Genomic DNA, 17,431 nt, shown 5'->3' on the forward strand with positions numbered 1-17,431 from the left:
GTAATGCTTGTACTACATGGTGAATGTAATTAATGCCATTGAATTGGACACTTGGAAATGGTTAAAATGGCAAATTTTGCTATATATATTTTAACACAATTTTTAAGAATCAATAATGTAATATGCCATAAAAACCCTCATTAAATTGTGCATTTTAGATGGGTAAATTGCATGGTACGTGAATTCAGTAAAGCTGTTAAAAGTATTGCAGCATCATTTCTGCTGCATTCAGTTGTTAAAAGCAAGCTAAGTCTAGCCCATGTTCAGTTCCAATTGTGATGGGAGGAATGACAATTTATGGATATGGGCACCCATGCAGGAATAAGTGCTATCAAAGCCCACCTGCAGCTACATTCAACATTGTTATTAGTGAGAATGCTGGTTTATGATAAAGCACTTCCAAAATACTGGATCTCCCACCATGTTCAAAGACAGTAAAGATTATTTGTTGACTCCTGCTGAGGGTTTAGCTCAATCATATACCATACCCTCCTCCGTCTCCCATCCAATCTAGTTATATCACAATTTTTGGTTAAATCAATATTCAATGTTTACATTTTTCACATGCTCAAGGGTGTCTGTTACTTTATCCAGTCTACTTCTTTCCCTGGAGACTTCCTTCCCTACCAGAGCTCTTCATCTTCCTCCTCCCATCTGGACCATTGTTCTCTAGGTTCCCTGCACAGCTTTCATCTCAGAACTTACCTTTGCTGTTTTCTGGTGTTGTATCCCTCCTTTCTTCAGTTCCCTGTTTTTCTCTTTTCTGGTTTATTCCCTTGCTGTGTTTATTTGTTTGTAGCATCTTCTGGTAGTTTCCTAAGAACATTTGCATTGGAGGTACTCTTTTTGCTTCCTTGCAGGTATGAAACCATCTTTTTTCCTACCTTTACCTTTGGCTGATAATTTGCCTGGCAAGACTGAATATTCTTTCTCTCAGAATTTGAAGGCATTTCTTTTACTGTCTTCTACCTTCTTGCTCCAAAACCATTCTTAATTCTATTCCTTTGTTCCTCTGTATATAATCTATCTTTTCTCTCTGAAATACCTTCTCTTTATCACTAACATTCCAAATTTCCAGTATTCTGAAATTTTGTAATAAAATCCCTTGATGGAGATCTTTTGTTTGTTTGTTTGAGTCAGGGTTTTGCTCTGTGCCCAGGTTGGAGTGCAGTGGTGTGATCATGGTTCACTGCAGCCTCAAGCTCCTGGGCTCAAGCGATCATCACACCTCAGAATCCTGAGTAGATGGGACTTAACAGGCATGTGCCACCATGCCCAACTAATTTTTTCATTTTTTATATAGGCAGGGTCTCCCTAGGTTACCCAGGCTGGTTTTAAAACCCTAGGCTCAAGGGATCCTCCCACCTCAGCTTCCCAAAGTGCTTTACAGGGATTACAGGTGTGAGCCACCATGCCTGGCCCTAGGTCTTTTAAAATAATTATTGTTCTGGATGTTAGATGTGGACCCCTTCAATCCTGAGAATTGTGTCCTTCAGTTCTGAGAAACTGTTTTGTATTATTCCTTAGATTAATTTTTCCCTTCCTTTTTTTCTTTCTACTCTACGGATTTTATAATCTCCTTTTCCTTTTTTGCCTAGTTTTTGAGCAATTTTCTCAATTTTATCTTCTAGGCTTTCCATTTATGCTATCATGTTTCTGCTTTCAAGGAGCTCTTTCTTATCCTCTGATGGTTCCTTGGTTTTTGTTTTCATTTTATGCAAAGCAATGGCAAAACATTTATTATCCTGAAATGTGTACATCCTATTTTTTTCAAGTAGCAAATTTGCTGGTAACATAATTTATTTAACCTGTTTCAGTCAGACAAACTCATGATCAATGCTGCTCTGTATAATTTCAAGTCTGATGAGCCTCTTTTTTGTTTTTTTGTTTTTAAACAAAAAACACTCTGTTGCCCAGGCTGGAGTGCAGTGGCGTGACCATGGCTCACTGCAGCCTCTAGCTCCTGGGCTCAAGCAATTCTTCCGCTTTAGCCTCCTGAGTAGCTGGGACTGTGGGCATGTGCTACATGCCCAGCTAATTCTTTTTATTTATTTATTTTAATTTTTTTGTTGAGATGGGGTCTTGCTCTGTTGCCCAGGTTAGTCTTAAACCCCTGGTCTCAAGCAATCCTCCTGCCTTAGCCTTCCAAAGCACTGAGATCTTCTAAGTATTTTTACCCCACTTCTAAAACTTGATGAGGAATTCAAAATAGCACACCACGTTAAATGACATTTATTGTTTTATAAATTGTATACAGGTTGAGTATTCCATGCTTGGGACTCTAGAGTGTTTCAGTTTTGGGATTATTTTGAATATTTTCATTAAACTTACTGGTTGAGCATCCCAATCTGAAAATCCAAAGCCCAAAATGCTCCAATGAGCATTTCCTTTGAGTGTCATGTTGGTGTTCAAAAAGTTTCAGATTTTAGAGGCCAGATTTGGTGGCTCATGACTGTAATCCCAGCACTTTGGGGAGCCAAGATGGGCGATCACCTAATGTCGGGAGTTTGAGACCAGCTTGGTCAACATGGTGAAACCCTCTGTCTACTAAAAGTACAAAAATTAGCTGGGCATGGTGGCATGCACCTGTAGTCCCAGCTACTCGGGAGGCTGAGGCAGGAAAATCGCTTGAACCCAGAGGCGGAGGTTGCAGTGAGCTGAGATCGTGCCACTGCACTCCAGCCTGGGCGACAGAGCTAAACTCCATCTTAAAAATAAATTAATTAATTAATTTTAAAAAAAAGTTTCAGATTTTAAAGTATTTCAGATTTTGGATTTTCAAATTAGGGATACTCAACCTACACTTGTTTTATGCTATCCTAGTCTTGTTTAAGGGTATAATACCTTATTTCATCTCTCTAGAGATACTAATGATAATGTTTTGATATTTACTTTGGTTCCTTGCATTGTTCCTGTTTTCTTGGAGATCCTTTTCTGTTTCCTTATTTGAGTCACTGTCTCTGATTTTGGAGACTTTGCTCAAATGTGAGTTTTGAGACACAATCTCACTCTGTTGCCCAGGCTGGAGTACAGTGGTGCAATCTCGGCTCACTGCAACCTCCACCTCCTGGGTTCAAGCAGTTCTCCTGCCTCAGCCTCCCAAGTAGTGGGGACTACAGGTGCCCGCCACCACACCTGGATAATTTTTGTATTTTTAGTAGAGACGGGGTTTCACCGTGTTGGCCAGGCTGGTCTCGAACTCCTGACTTCAAGTGATCCACCCACCCCGGCCTCCCAAAGTGCTGGGATTACAGGTGTGAGCCACCACACCTGCCTCCATTCATATTTCATGGTGAGGCTCTGTGTGCCTAGATGAGGCTTCCACTCTAGTTTTGAGAGTGGGCATGTCTACTGGTGTTTGGGAGCAGGGTGAGCTCTTCTGTCAATAGCCTCCTCAATACCACTCTGGGGAGAGCTTCCCTGGCTTTGGCCAACAGTTACCACCCTGCTCCTGCCTGCCACCTGCCAAATTTTTGTTGAAATTACTCCACTCCCATTCTCTTTGTTTTTGTGGCTTTCTTCCTTTTTTCTTCTCTTTACTCAGATTTTAGTGTGACTTTAGGAGGGGAAGGAGATACATGCAAGTGGTTGACCAGAAGTCCTTCACGTTATCAGTAAACATTTTGATAATAATTTACTGAAACTTCTTCCCAACTTCAGTTTCTTTACCTTTAAGTGAGTCCCAATGCTGCACCCTGACTTAATTTTTCTAAAATATAGGTCTGCTAAGATTACATCTTGCCAGACTTTTGATGGCTTCTCATAAGACAAGATTCAGAATTCCTAACCTCAATTACAGGGCCCTTGACAATCTGACCCTATTCAGTTTCATCTTCTACTGGTCTCTCTCACAGTGATACCCTTGAATATTTATTTTTCTGTAAGCCTGTCATGTACTTCCTTGCCTCTGTGTTTTTTCTGTTCCCTGTGCCCGGAATGCTCTATCTATTCTTCCTGTCTGGTATATTCCCACTAACTCTACAAGGTCCAAACCAGGTTTTATCTCCTCTGTGAAGCCTTTCAAGACCCTATACTTCACCACAGGCAGAATTTATTAACCTCTCTGTGTTCTGGTAGCACTAAACTGATGCTTAACCTGGCAATTATACCTCAGGGCAGAGCACTTTATTTACACTCCTGCCTCATTAGCCAGGTTGTCACTTCCTTAAAGGCAAGGACTGTGCTTTCTTCTCCTTGTTATTCTAAGCATAAGCTCAGTGCTGAATACTCTGTAGACATTCAGGAAATGTTTATCAAATGAATAATGGTCATTGCCATGGCAGTTGACTCAGTTGTCATCTCCCTCTTTTAGGCACACAAGCCATGCCCCCTCTTTTCTCTTTGGGATACCACCAGTGCCGCTGGAACTATGAAGATGAGCAGGATGTAAAAGCAGTGGATGCAGGGTTTGATGAGCATGACATTCCTTATGATGCCATGTGGCTGGACATAGAGCACACTGAGGGCAAGAGGTACTTCACCTGGGACAAAAACAGATTCCCAAACCCCAAGAGGATGCAAGAGCTGCTCAGGAGCAAAAAGCGTAAGGTAAAATAAGCCAACATTTCTGAACCTTTTAATTACAGAGTTTTAAAAAATGTTTTAGACTTGCCTTGGCACATCAGTGGTGGAGAAACATCTGATAAAAAATGGCTGTGAAAATAGTAGATTCAAATATAATTGTCACTGTGATAAGAGAGAAAGTGAATGGTAAAAAGGTGATGACCCCATCCATTCCTGGCTTAGTTATCTAGGTCACCATAATGAAGAAGGGGTCTAGCATTTTCAGTTCCGTTTGTTGTGGCCACCCTGTAGTAATGTGATCCCCCCACTCAAAATTTAGTTTCCATGTCTCAATTGGTGACACCACACTTGCACTAAGAGTATATTAAAAAGTTTATTACTCATATAATGAGGCTTTCTGGGGAGAGCAGGGGTGGCTCCCAAGCTGGTTTGAAAATGGCTTGAGAGAACTGAGAAAGGAGATTGGCTCAGCTTTTATGGTGGTTAGCGGGTGGGGACAGGGCAAGGGCTCTTGCACGCAGGCTGAGGCTTAGATAGTTTGAACCCCCTGCTGGCACCAAAGGAGGGGGCACTAGAGCTTTCTTTGTCAGCTTGTCCAGATACGGGCCGAAGGGTAAGGGGGGAGTAGCAGGGCTTGAAAACGCTTAAAAGTCAAATATCAAATATGGTATCAAATTCTTTATTACACTGTTTTTCCTGCATGCTTCCCTGGTGGACTCCACCTGTCAATCTGGCCAAGAAAAGAACGGAAATAGAAAATGGGGAGGGAGAGAAGCCCCTGGAACATGTATAATGCTGCTTTCCAGTTCCAGGAGTGGTGGTGGTGGTAATAGCAATAATGAAAAGATGGAAGGAGAGAAGAAAATGGAGAGAGGAGAAGGGGGGCGAAACCCTATGTGTATCATGTGAGTGAATAAAGTCCCTCTCCTTGAAAGTAAGGTTGACTTTTCAACCCATTCCTTTGACCTCCCCACCAGGCTTTTCACAGACAGCCAGAGCCCATCCAGTTAACTCCTAATTTCCCAATTAATAAATAGTTACCATATATCAAGCTGTTATGGGCTAGACAATATGATAAAACACATTATTCCATCCAGCGATGACAAAACTATAAGGTAGGTCTTGTTACCCCATATTTTAGATGAAGAAGCTGAGGCTTAGACTGGTTTCAAAATTTACACAAAGGCACACAGTGAATAAATAGCATGGCAAGAATATGAACCATGGTCTGCCTGACTCCAGATCTTCTGTCCTTAATAAGTAGTTATTTAATGAGGCCTTGAACCTTCAAGATGCTATGGTAGTGCTGAAGGGTATACAGAGATGAGCTCCTTGTGGTCTTACAGTGAGTGAAGAAAAGGCAAGTATCCAACTACAATACAGGAAAGTAACATAAGGGCCAAAGAAAGGTCAGGGTAGGGGCAGGCCAAGAAAGAGAAGATTGTATCCTCAAGACTTAAGCAGGGCTTTGTTCCAGAGGTGCATTTTATTTTATTTATTTATTTTTTATTTAATTTTTTTTTGGGGACAGAGTCTCACTCTGTCACCCAGGCTGTAGTGCTATGGTGCGATCTCAGCTCATTGCATCCTCCATCTCCTGGGTTCATGCAATTCTCCTGCCTCAGCCTCCTGAGTATCTAGAATTACAGGCATGTGCCACCATGGCCAACTAATTTTTGTATTTTTAGTAGAGATGGGGTTTCACCATGTTAGCCAGGCTGGTCTTGAACTCCTGACTTCAGGTGATCCGCCCACCTGAGGCTCCCAAAGTGCTGGGGTTACAGGCGTGAGCCATCATATCTGGCCTAGAAGTGCATTTTAGATGAGCCCTGAAGCATGTCCCTAACTAATGAGTAAGCAGGGAGAGGGAAGAGGGCAATGCAGCCAGAGGAAGGAGCATTAGGGGTGTTCGGAAAGCAGTGCACAGGCAAGTTTGACAGCCAGGCATGTGAGGGTTCTAATAGTGGAGGATCTGACCAGAAAGGTTGGGACCTTTGTGTAAACTGCTTTGTATGCATTTGGAAACATTACAAGTTTTTGAATAAGGGGTTAATATCCAGAATATATAACAAACTCCTACAACTCAGCAACAACAAAAAAAAACAGTTAAAAAGTGGGCAAAGAACTTGAATAGACATCTCTCCAAAGAAGATACACAAATAGCCAACAAGCACAAGAAAAGATGCTCAACACCACTAATCATTAGGGAAATGCAAACCAAGACCACAGTGAAATCCCATTTTACATAATTAAGATGACTACTATTTAAAAAAAAAACAAAATAACAAGTGTTGGCAAGGATGTAGAGAAATTGGAATCTTTGTGCACCGTTGGTAGGAATGCAAAATGGTACAGCTGTTATGGAAAACAATATGATAGTTCCTCAGAAATTTAAAAATGGAATTACTGTATGATCCAGCAATTCCACTTGTGGGTATATACCCAAAGGAACTGGAAGCAGGAACCTGAAAAGATATTTATACACCCATGTTTATAGCAGCATTAGTCACAGTAGTCAAAAGGTCAAAGCAACCCAAGCTGCTTGGGTTGCAACTCCATTGACAGACGAATATGTAAACAAAATGTGGTATATACGTACAACAGAATATTATTCAGCCTTTAAAACGAAGGAAATTCTAATAGATACTACAGCATGGATGAACCTTGAGGATAAATGCTAAGTGAAATAAGCCAGTTACAAAAAGACAAATACCGTGTGATTCCACTAATTTGAAGTAATTGGAGTAGTCATATTCATAGAGACAGAAAGTATTATAGAATGGTAGTTGCTGGAGCTAGGAGGAGGGAATGAGAAATCATCATTTAATGAGTATAAAGGTTTAGTTTTGCAACATGAGAGAGTTCTGGAGATTGACTACACAACATTATGACTGTACATACTTAACAGTACTAAACTGCACACTTAAAAATGGTTAAGATAGTAAATTTTATGTTATGTGTATTTTACCACAATTTAAAAATTAAGGCTGGGTGCGGTGGCTCACACCTGTAATCCCAGCACTTTGGGAGGCCGAGGTGAGCAGATCACCTGAGGTCAGGAGTTCGAGATCAGCCTGGCCAACATAATGAAACCCTATCTCTATTAAAAATACAAAAAAAAAAAAAATTAGTCCAGCATGGTGGCGGGCACCTGTAATCCCAGCTACTTGGGAGGCTGAGGCAGGAGAATCGCTGGAACCCAGGAGGCGGAGGTTGCAATGAGCCGAGATCGTGCCACTGCACTCCAGCCTGGGCGACAGAGCGAGACTCTGTCTCAAAAAACAAACAAAAAAAAAAATTTAAGAAAATGTTTGAGCAATGAAGAATTAAACTTTAATATTCAGGACTGATTAGAATAGAGATGAGGAAGGAGGATTAGATGGTGTTCTGGCCAAATAAAGTGTTATTGAGGCCCTAGACTGGTGGAAGTGATGGTATTGTAAAGTCACAGAGAGATGCTAGAGACACAGCGCTGTGGCTTACAACTTTTCTCAAATCTCCTTCCTAATATGCCTGCACCACTGGGCTTGGGGACTTTGTTTTTAACATGTTATTCTCTTAGTTTCTTTAATGTTTGCTTATATCAATGTTATCTGAGCGTCTAAATGTCTAGGGAGCAGGTACCCTGCCTACTTAGTTCTGTATGTATAGTATGCAGCACTCAGCATCATGGACAGATAGACACTTAATGCTATTTAAAGAACATCTATTGGTTAGGCAGCAATAATTATAAAAGAGCATTGGCCTGGTTTTTTTGTTTTTGTTTTTTTCTTTTTTAGAGATGGGGTCTTGTTCTGTCACCCAAGCTGGATTGCAGTATCATGATCATGGCTCACTGTAGCCGCGACCTCCCCAGCTCAAACAGTCCTCCTGCCTCAGCCTCCTGAGTAGCTGGGACCACAGGTGGACACCACCACACCCAGCTAATTTTTAAATTTTTTTGTAGAGACAGTGTTCCACTATGTTGCCCAGGCTGGTCTCAAACTCCTGGCCTTAAGCAGTCCTCCCACCTTGGCCTCCCAATGTGTTGGGATTGCAGGTGTGAGCCGCTGTGCCTGGCCAGCATTGGCCCAGTTTTGGTATCAGTTGAAATTCTCATAAGCACATGAAAGGTTATAGGGTTTTACTGGTGTCTGAAATATTTATTTTTTGTTTTTGTTTTTGTTTTTTTGTCTGAAATATTTCAATACTAGTTGTAGTTGTTTGTAAAAATTGAACCCCCAAACTATGGCGAAAACATATACGTGAACATTTGTCTTACATAAAACTGATGAGACCTCCAAACCTTCATGTCCTGACAGCTTGTGGTCATCAGTGATCCCCACATCAAGATTGATCCTGACTACTCAGTATATGTGAAGGCCAAAGATCAGGGCTTCTTTGTGAAGAATCAGGAAGGGGAAGACTTTGAAGGGGTGTGTTGGCCAGGTATGAAATCACTTTATACACTTATTATTTCCACATGTTCTGTCCCAATTAATGAAGGCTGCGTGGTCATCATTCTGCTCCCTTGTAGATGTCTCTTGCTCCTCTAGCTACATTTTAAGCATATAATTTAATGAAGAGATAGGTTTGCCTTCTTTTGTATCTTTTATAATACCTGGTACTATATGCTTTGTATGTATTTATCAATCAATAATTGAATGAATGAAAAATAAACAAGCAAACCTCAGTGGCATGCTGTTTCTCCAAGCAAACAGAGATAAAAAGTCGGGGAATAAGAAAAGCAGAGGAGGAGAAAGAAAAAAAGTGGGTCCTGCAAGCTCTCTCCTTGTGATTGCTCTTCACCCTTTTAGCCCATAGTTTTGACTTCCCAGGCTTTCATGAGTCACCTCAGCCACCCTGATGACTATGGATTCTTCATTTCAAAAGTTATTAAAAGTTATTAATTTAAAGCCTTGGTAGAAACTCCCCAAGGACAAAAGGAAAATACGTTGTTTAGAAATAAAGAGTCAGCACTATCTATCATAAATCCATGCACTGTAGAGAAACCCCGTGCCTTTCTTTTTTTCCCTTTACATCCCTTGAACACAATTCCCTGTTCTCTTTAAGAACCAAGAGATCACTGCAGGATATTTGCCATCCTTCCTTGGGCTATATTAGGCCATCAGTGAGGGACAGGCTCTATCATGATACTTGTGCATTGGCATTCCCCTGGGCTTCTGGTATTGAAAGATCTAGTGATTGTCACTGGAGCCCAGCATTACCTTCCTTCACTTCTCAACAGACCATGCCTCTGTCAGCCAACTTTCGTGTTTATGTAAGGTGCCCATTTCCCAGCTCTCACATCTGATACCTTCTTTACAATGCATCCTACTGTGAGGACCACTGTTCTTGACAGGCTATCTACTGTTCTGCCTCCACAGGTCTCTCCTCTTACCTGGATTTCACCAATCCCAAGGTCAGAGAGTGGTATTCAAGTCTTTTTGCTTTCCCTGTTTATCAGGTTGGTTTTTATTCCTTTGTTCTTTTCTAGTTACCTGAAAGAGTGAAAGAAGTGGAAAAAGTGATTGAATAAAACTATTCTTTTTCATTGAGTAGCTTTTGATATATAATGCTTTTATTAAAAGGCAAGTATGGCCACCACATTACAGACTCTGGGGGTGCTGGGAGAGGTGCCATATGCATAAGCAAATGCACAAAACCTGTGATTTTGACCTCTATTATAATAGACTCTATGATATATCAAAGTACTTTATAGCAGAGGTTTATTATATTTTCAAATTGCTATATATATTTTATATAAAATTGTGTTCCATAACTGTTATTTAAATATGATGATACATGTGAAAATATCTTACAACGTATTTGTCATTAAAAGTGAAGTATGATTTTTAAATAATCTGATAAGAACCACAGAGGAAACTGGAGAGGCCACATCTGGAGAACTGTTTTCAACCAATTATGATGATATTAATGATGGCAGTGTTGATGATGATGATACCTAATGCAAATGGAGTACTTGCTGTGTGCCAAGCACTGTGCTAAGGATGACTTCATGTGCATCATACCATTTGTCTTCATAATAACCCTCTGAAGTTGGAACTATAACTAAATCTAACCCCATAGAAGAGGAAATTGAGACATAGAGAAGCTTAAAAACTTGCCAAGGTCATGCATCTAGTAAGTGGTGGAACCAAAATTTGAACTCAGGTCTGTTTGTGCCCTAAGCCCAGCTTTTAACCACTAAACTGTAGTTTCTGGCATCAAGTATTAGGGCACTAATAAACAACTTAGTACAGGGATAGACAAGCGTTGGGCCAAATCTGGCCATGCCTATTCATTTCCCTATTTGTGGCTGCTTTTGTACTACTATGGCAGAGTTGAATAATTGAAAAAGAGACCTCATGGCCTGCAAAGTTGAAAATATTTACTATCTGGACCTTTACCAAAAATGTTTGCCAATCCCTGCTTTAGATGGTTCTAAAGGAAAGATATGGTAGTTAAATATTTGGAAATCATTTACCCCCTTATACATAGAAGAACACACATGTTTAGAAATAAAGATTCAAAAAAAAAAAAAAACAAGCCACCTCCAGGAATTTGAAAGACTTTCTTGTGGGCGAGGTGACAGATGTATTCTGTGGGGTCTCAGAAGGTAAGCTAGGTAGGCTCTGCGAGGGGAATGTTATATACAAGGAGCAGGATTTTTGAAAAATAATAGAATGAGCTGCCTGAGGGACTCCCTGTCTTTTTAGCTATTCAGTCAAACGCCAAAAGATAAGTGATTCTAGAAAAGACCAGGGATTCTACAATACCATGTTAGCTAGATGACTCAACTGTCCCTTCCCACTCTAAACTGAACAGTTCTGTGTAGGATACAAACTATAGATCATGTTAACAAACAGGTATATTGGCTGTCAAGTCTTTCAAAGTATTAGAGAGAAGGTAGAATCTTGTCATGTTCAGCTATAGTTGCCCTTAGTTAAGAGTTGTAGCATCTGATGAATGAGAAGGAGCCCAATTGTGAACATTCACAACCTTTCCCATAGGAGTCCTGCAGGGAGGTCTTGGAATGAATTTGCCAGGCAATATATATTTCACAGACAACACAGGGCAGCATTCTTTTATTCAGCAGCAAATATTTATTGAGATCTGTCTATGGGCCAGGTACTATTCTAGATGTTTGGGATTTATTAATGAACAAAACAGACAAAATGTTGTTCCCTGTGGAACTTATACTCTAGCAGTGGAGCAGAGGACAGAGCATAGATAATAAACATAATTTTTAAAATGAGGTAGCAATGGTGACAGCTATTATATAGACATCATCAATGTAGGAGTGTCATGACCAAGGTTTACTTCCTAGGGATCTACGGACATCCTCTTCCTTTGGAATGACATGAATGAGCCTTCTGTCTTTAGAGGGCCAGAGCAAACCATGCAGAAGAATGCCATTCATCATGGCAATTGGGAGCACAGAGAGCTCCACAACATCTACGGTTTTTATCATGTAAGACATCCAAAAAGAATTAAACTGGGCTTGTGTGACCCACCTTTTGGCTGAAGGTCATTTGCTTTGTGATATAATGGCTATTCTCTACTGTTCATTTCTCTTTGTGTGTCTTTTCTGACAACTGCAATGAGTCTTAGGTAGTAGCCAATACAAGACTTTTTATTATTTCTCCCTTTGCTTCTTTTCTTTTCATGATGAACTTGATGAACTTTTAAATATTATGAAATTAATTATAACATAAAGCTTCTGCCTTGATAGGAGCCATTAATAAGTGGCACTCACTGGCCACTACCTCAAACTTTTATTGATGCAAGCAGTATATAAATATGTGAATGAAGGTAATTAAAACAAGTGTTTTAAGATTTCACAGATATCTAAATACAGCAAATCTTATATTCACACTGGAGGAGCAATATTTAGAACACAGACACACAGCTTCAATAAGTATATTTTAAAAATGTAAAGCCTTCCTTAAGTACTTAGCTTCCTCAATAAAGGTGGTAAAATTATCTTTCATTTGCCAACTACATCCAAAAGACGTGGCAGACACTTGACCTCATGTATACCCATGGTTCTTTGTTATTTTCAAATTGTGACTGTATTCCTGTGGCCCTCTTACCTATTGGTATTTTCCAATGGGATCTTTTGGCTAAATATAAGCATAGTTTTCAGATTGTGTGTGTTTGCCTCTTTAACAGCCTGTTGCAGTAACTGTAGACTGCTTTAGTTAGTGAGCTGTCTTATATAGGTCAGGACCAGTCATTTAACCTCTCTGAAGCTCAGTTTTTCGTACCAATGAAAACTGTCTGTCTCAGAGGTTGTTACGGAGATTATATGAGAAAATTATATTAAATGCCTAGCAATAGTAAGCACCAAAGAAATGCTAGATGATTGTTTATTATTATTTCATTGCTATTGTTAACCAAAGAAAATTTTCCATTCTTTTAATAGGGGAATTTAGAGTAATTTCATTATACCATGAAAATTATTTGATGGATTTATTTTAATATTTTCCATTTCATGCTCCTGCCTACTGTTTGCTTTTTGTATGTTAGATAGCTTATTGGGGATGTCTGTACAAATCCAATCATCTCTTTGAAATTTTTCTTGTTTGGTGATATAGCAAATGGCTACTGCAGAAGGACTGATAAAACGATCTAAAGGGAAGGAGAGACCCTTTGTTCTTACACGTTCTTTCTTTGCTGGATCACAAAAGTATGGTAAGGAATGGCTCATATCAGACTTAAAAACACATTAGCAACTTTTTTTTTAACCATTTATAGAATGTGATGTTACTGTGCTGATGCCTTCCTTTTCCTTTTTTTTTTTTTTTTTTTTTTCATTTGTTTGTTTGAAACAGAGTCTCGCTTTGTCACCCAGGCTGGAGTGCAGTGGCACAGTCATGACTCACTGCAGCATTGACCACCTGGGCTCAAGCAATCCTCCCACCGAAGCCTCATGAGTAGCTGGGATTACGGGTGCACACCACCACACCCAGCTAATTTATATATGTATATGTATTTTTTGGTAGAGACAGGGTTTCACCATGTTGCCCAGGCTAGTCTCGAACTCCTGGACTCAAGCGATCTGCCCACCTTGGCCTCCCAAAGTGTTGTGATTACAGGTGTGAACCACCACACTCAGCTGATGCCTTCCTTTTCAATAGCCATTGGTCAGGCCTTTGATTGTAGACAGTGGTATGCCCTAAAGTGTGGATTTTGTCCTATAAGACAGAATAAACAAATTTTAGTCATTTGATACTTGTTTCTCACTGAAGAAATGGCCACTTCGTTGTTGGGAGAGTAACTTCTAAGTATTCAGTTTGCTGGGATAGTCATCTTTGGTCCTGTCTCTTTGATTTATCAAAGCCAGGGAGATACACCTCTAACACATTCCATTAACCAACTGTTCCACTTAGAAATGTGGCTTAAAATAGACCTGGCTGTTGCGTGTGGTCAGGGTCATCTATAACTGGATGCAGTTTACCAGCTAATGCAGATCTGGTTCAACTTAACAACCCTGTGGCAGGAAGGCTATTTTAAGTCCCCTGGCCTTGCATAAGCAACGGAGAGCTTAGATCCTAGTTTAAAGAATCCAGCCCTTACTATCCTGTGGACATTATTAAGCCTCCCACTCCACCCCTGAAAACCTGGCCCTGTGGCATTCTGGAAAGGGCCAAAATATTACAATCTCAGGCAAAGATTCATGTACAGAGGTATTCAACACAGTGGTAGTCCTTGAAACAAAAGTAAGAAAGAAAATCTAAATACATAACAATAAGGGAATAGTTATAAAAGTATGGTATAGCAACATGATAGATTATCGTGAGGCTATTTATGTTTAAAAAATTTTTTTTCTTTTTTTAATTTTCATAAGGCTATTTTAAATGGTAGATTTAATTGCATGAAAAAATGTTTTTGATATGATAAATAAAAAAAGGAACACCTAAGTGTTTATAATATTAACCTAATTTTGTATTGATATGTATTAGATGTACATATTTTCAGGATATGTGTGATAATTTGATATGTTCATATAATCAAATCAGAGTAATTGGGATATCTATCACCTTAAATATGTATCTTTTCTTTATACTAGGAACGTTTAAATTATTCTCTTTTAGCTTTTTTAAAATGCACACAATCAAGGCTAACTATAGTCACCTTACTGATCTATCAAACATCAAGTCTTATTTCTTATTATCTCAATTTTATAAAAGATTAATGGAAGATAGTAATTTAAATAAATAAGTGGGTAGATAGGCAGACAGTTAAATATAAGAAAATGTAATACCTTGGTGATTTTGAGTGATTTTCATTTTTTTCTTTTATCTAACTTTATTTTACAAATTGTCTACAAGTATCATTTTTAATCACAAAAAAAAGTATTTTTAATGAAAACATTTACCAGCAACAGTTAAAAAAAGATAACAGAAGATTTAAATATTAGGTTATTGTTGATCTCTTATGTTGGTCCATTGCTTAGCCTGCAGTACTCTGTGTGAAGCTATCAGCTTTGCTTCACTGTGTAGCAAGACATTACAGGAAACACTACTTTGTTAAGTCATATGCGATGATCAATAGCCATAGAGAACTTCTGACTAAACAATAGTATGAGACATGAAAATATCTGCATGTTTATGTGAGCTTTCTTTCTTGATGAGAATGTCTCCATACGGATTTCAAAATCATTATGTAAATACGTACATATCTCGCTTGAAGTCAAGAGGAAATTAGAATACTTTTTTAAAAGAACAATCCCTGGAAAATATTTTTTTTGAGCCAGGCACAGTGGCTCAAACCTGTAATCCCAGCACTTTGGGAGGCCGAGGCGGGTGGATCACCTGAGGTCAGGAGTTCAAGACTAGCCTGATCAACATGGTGAAACCCTGTCTCTACTAAAAAAAAAAAAAAAAAAAATAGCTGCGTGGTAGCGCGCACCTGTAATCCCAGCTACTAGGGAGGCTGAGGCAGGAGAATCGCTTGAACCTGGGAGGCAGGGGTTGCAGTGAGCAGAGATCGTGCCATTGCACTCCAGCCTGGGCAACAAGAGCAAAACTCTGTCTCAAAAAATATATATATATATATTTTTTTTGGTCACGAGCAGTGGCTCATGTCTGTAATCCCAGTACTTTTCTGAGGCAGGTGGGCAGATCACTTGAGGTTAGGAGTTTGAGACCAGCCTGGGCAACATGGTGAAACCCTGTCTCTACTAAAAATACGAAAATGAGCCAGGCATAGTGGCACATGCCTGTAGTCCCAGCTATTCAGGAGGCTGAGGCAGGAGAATTTCTTGCAACTGGGAAGTGGAAGTTGCAGTGAGCCAAGATTGCACCACTGCAGTCCAGCCTGGGCCACAGAGTGAAACTCCATCTCAAAAAAAAAAAGAATTTTTTTTTTCCTGGCCATAGGGCGGCCTAAAATTTCTATGAAAGATTAAAACAAAAATAGCTACCAAAACTATTTTGGTAGAAGATAGACAAAAATGCTTCAGAAGTAGTATATATTTCATAAAATAAGACTTTCCCTTTTATGGCTGTCTTTGGTGGTATATAATCTCTCATCACAAACTCTTAGCAACTCTTCAGTAAATAAGAACAAGAACACTGGCTTAGGCATCAGAGTGCCTGGGCTCAAATCCTGCCTCTACCACTTAATAACTGTGTAACTCTGGGTAGATTATGCATCCATTGCTTGCTATACTTCCCTCATCTATAAAATTGAGTTTATAATAGTGTTTATCTGATAGGATTGTTGTGATTATTAAGTAGGATAATACCAGCAAACTATTCGGCATAACACCTGGCTCAGTATGGGTTAAATAAATGTTAATTATTGTTATTGCTACTGTTATTATGTCTCCCCTTTAAGGCCTGTAACACTTCTCTCAAATTTTTTAGGGTTTTCTTTGGAAGCAGGGGCTGGTGGAGGTGGGAGGAAATAGGTACATAGATCAATTGAACAGAGTAGAGAATCCAGAGTATCCAACACATATGTGATCAATTGCTTTGCAACAAAGTTTCCAAGGCAATTTAATGGAGAAATTACAATTTCTTTTCAGTAAATGGTTCTGAAACAACTGGATATCTGTGTGGGGAAAAAAATGAAACTACACCCCTACCTCATACCATATTCAAAATTAAACTAAAAAATTAACTCATTTTAAAAGCTAAAAATACAACCTAACTTCTGGAAAAAAACATAGAATAAAATCTTTTTTTTTTTTTTGAGATGGAGTCTCACTCTGTTGCCCAGGCTGGAATGCAATGGCATCATCTCAGATCACTGCAACCTCCACCTCCCGGGTTCAAGTGATTCTCCTGCCTCAGCCTCCTGAGTGGCTGGGATTACAGGTGCCCACCACCACACCTGGCTAACTTTTACATTTTTAGTAGAGACAGGGTTTCACCATGTTGGGCAGTCCGGTCTTAAACTCTTGACCTCAAGTGATCTGCCCTCCTCGGCTTCACAAAGTGCTGGGATTACAGGCGTGAGCCACTGCACCTGGCCAGTAGAAAATCTTTATGGCTTTGAAACAGACAAACATTTCTTAGAAAGAACACAAAAAGCATGAATCATAAAAGAAAAAAATGACAAATTAGACTTTATCAAAATTTAAAAATGTCTGCCCTTTCAAAGACATTGGTAAGAAAATGAAATGGCAAGCCACCGACTGAGGAAAAAAATATTTGAAATATACATATACAGATATATCTGCCAAAATACTTGTATCCAGAATATATAAAGAACTTTTACTACTCAATAATAATAAGAAAGACAACCTACTTTAAGAGTTGGTTTTCTGAAAAAAAAATAATAATAACAAAATAGATAGACTGCTAGCTAGACTAATAAAGAAGAAAAGAGAGAAAATCCAAATAAACACAATTAGGAATTACAAAGGAGAAAATGTAGGAGAAATGGATAAATTCCTGGACACATATACCCTCCT

General features: G+C 39.3%; 1 protein-coding gene across 3 annotated transcripts in view; it reads left to right on the plus strand.

Annotated features, from left to right (window-relative positions):
• GANC (glucosidase alpha, neutral C) overlaps nt 1-17,431 on the plus strand; it is an 80,466-nt gene that overhangs the window by 44,272 nt on the left and 18,763 nt on the right. For all 3 annotated transcript variants that reach the window (NM_198141.3, NM_001393928.1, NM_001393929.1), the window contains 5 exons: nt 4,313-4,548; nt 8,826-8,952; nt 9,891-9,970; nt 11,834-11,977; nt 13,104-13,200. In NM_198141.3, coding sequence (NP_937784.2) covers nt 4,313-4,548; nt 8,826-8,952; nt 9,891-9,970; nt 11,834-11,977; nt 13,104-13,200 — 684 coding nt within the window. The remainder of the gene's footprint in view (nt 1-4,312; nt 4,549-8,825; nt 8,953-9,890; nt 9,971-11,833; nt 11,978-13,103; nt 13,201-17,431) is intronic.

The sequence above is a fragment of the Homo sapiens genome, chromosome 15 (assembly GCF_000001405.40).
Source record: "Homo sapiens chromosome 15, GRCh38.p14 Primary Assembly".
NCBI lineage: Eukaryota > Metazoa > Chordata > Mammalia > Primates > Hominidae > Homo > Homo sapiens.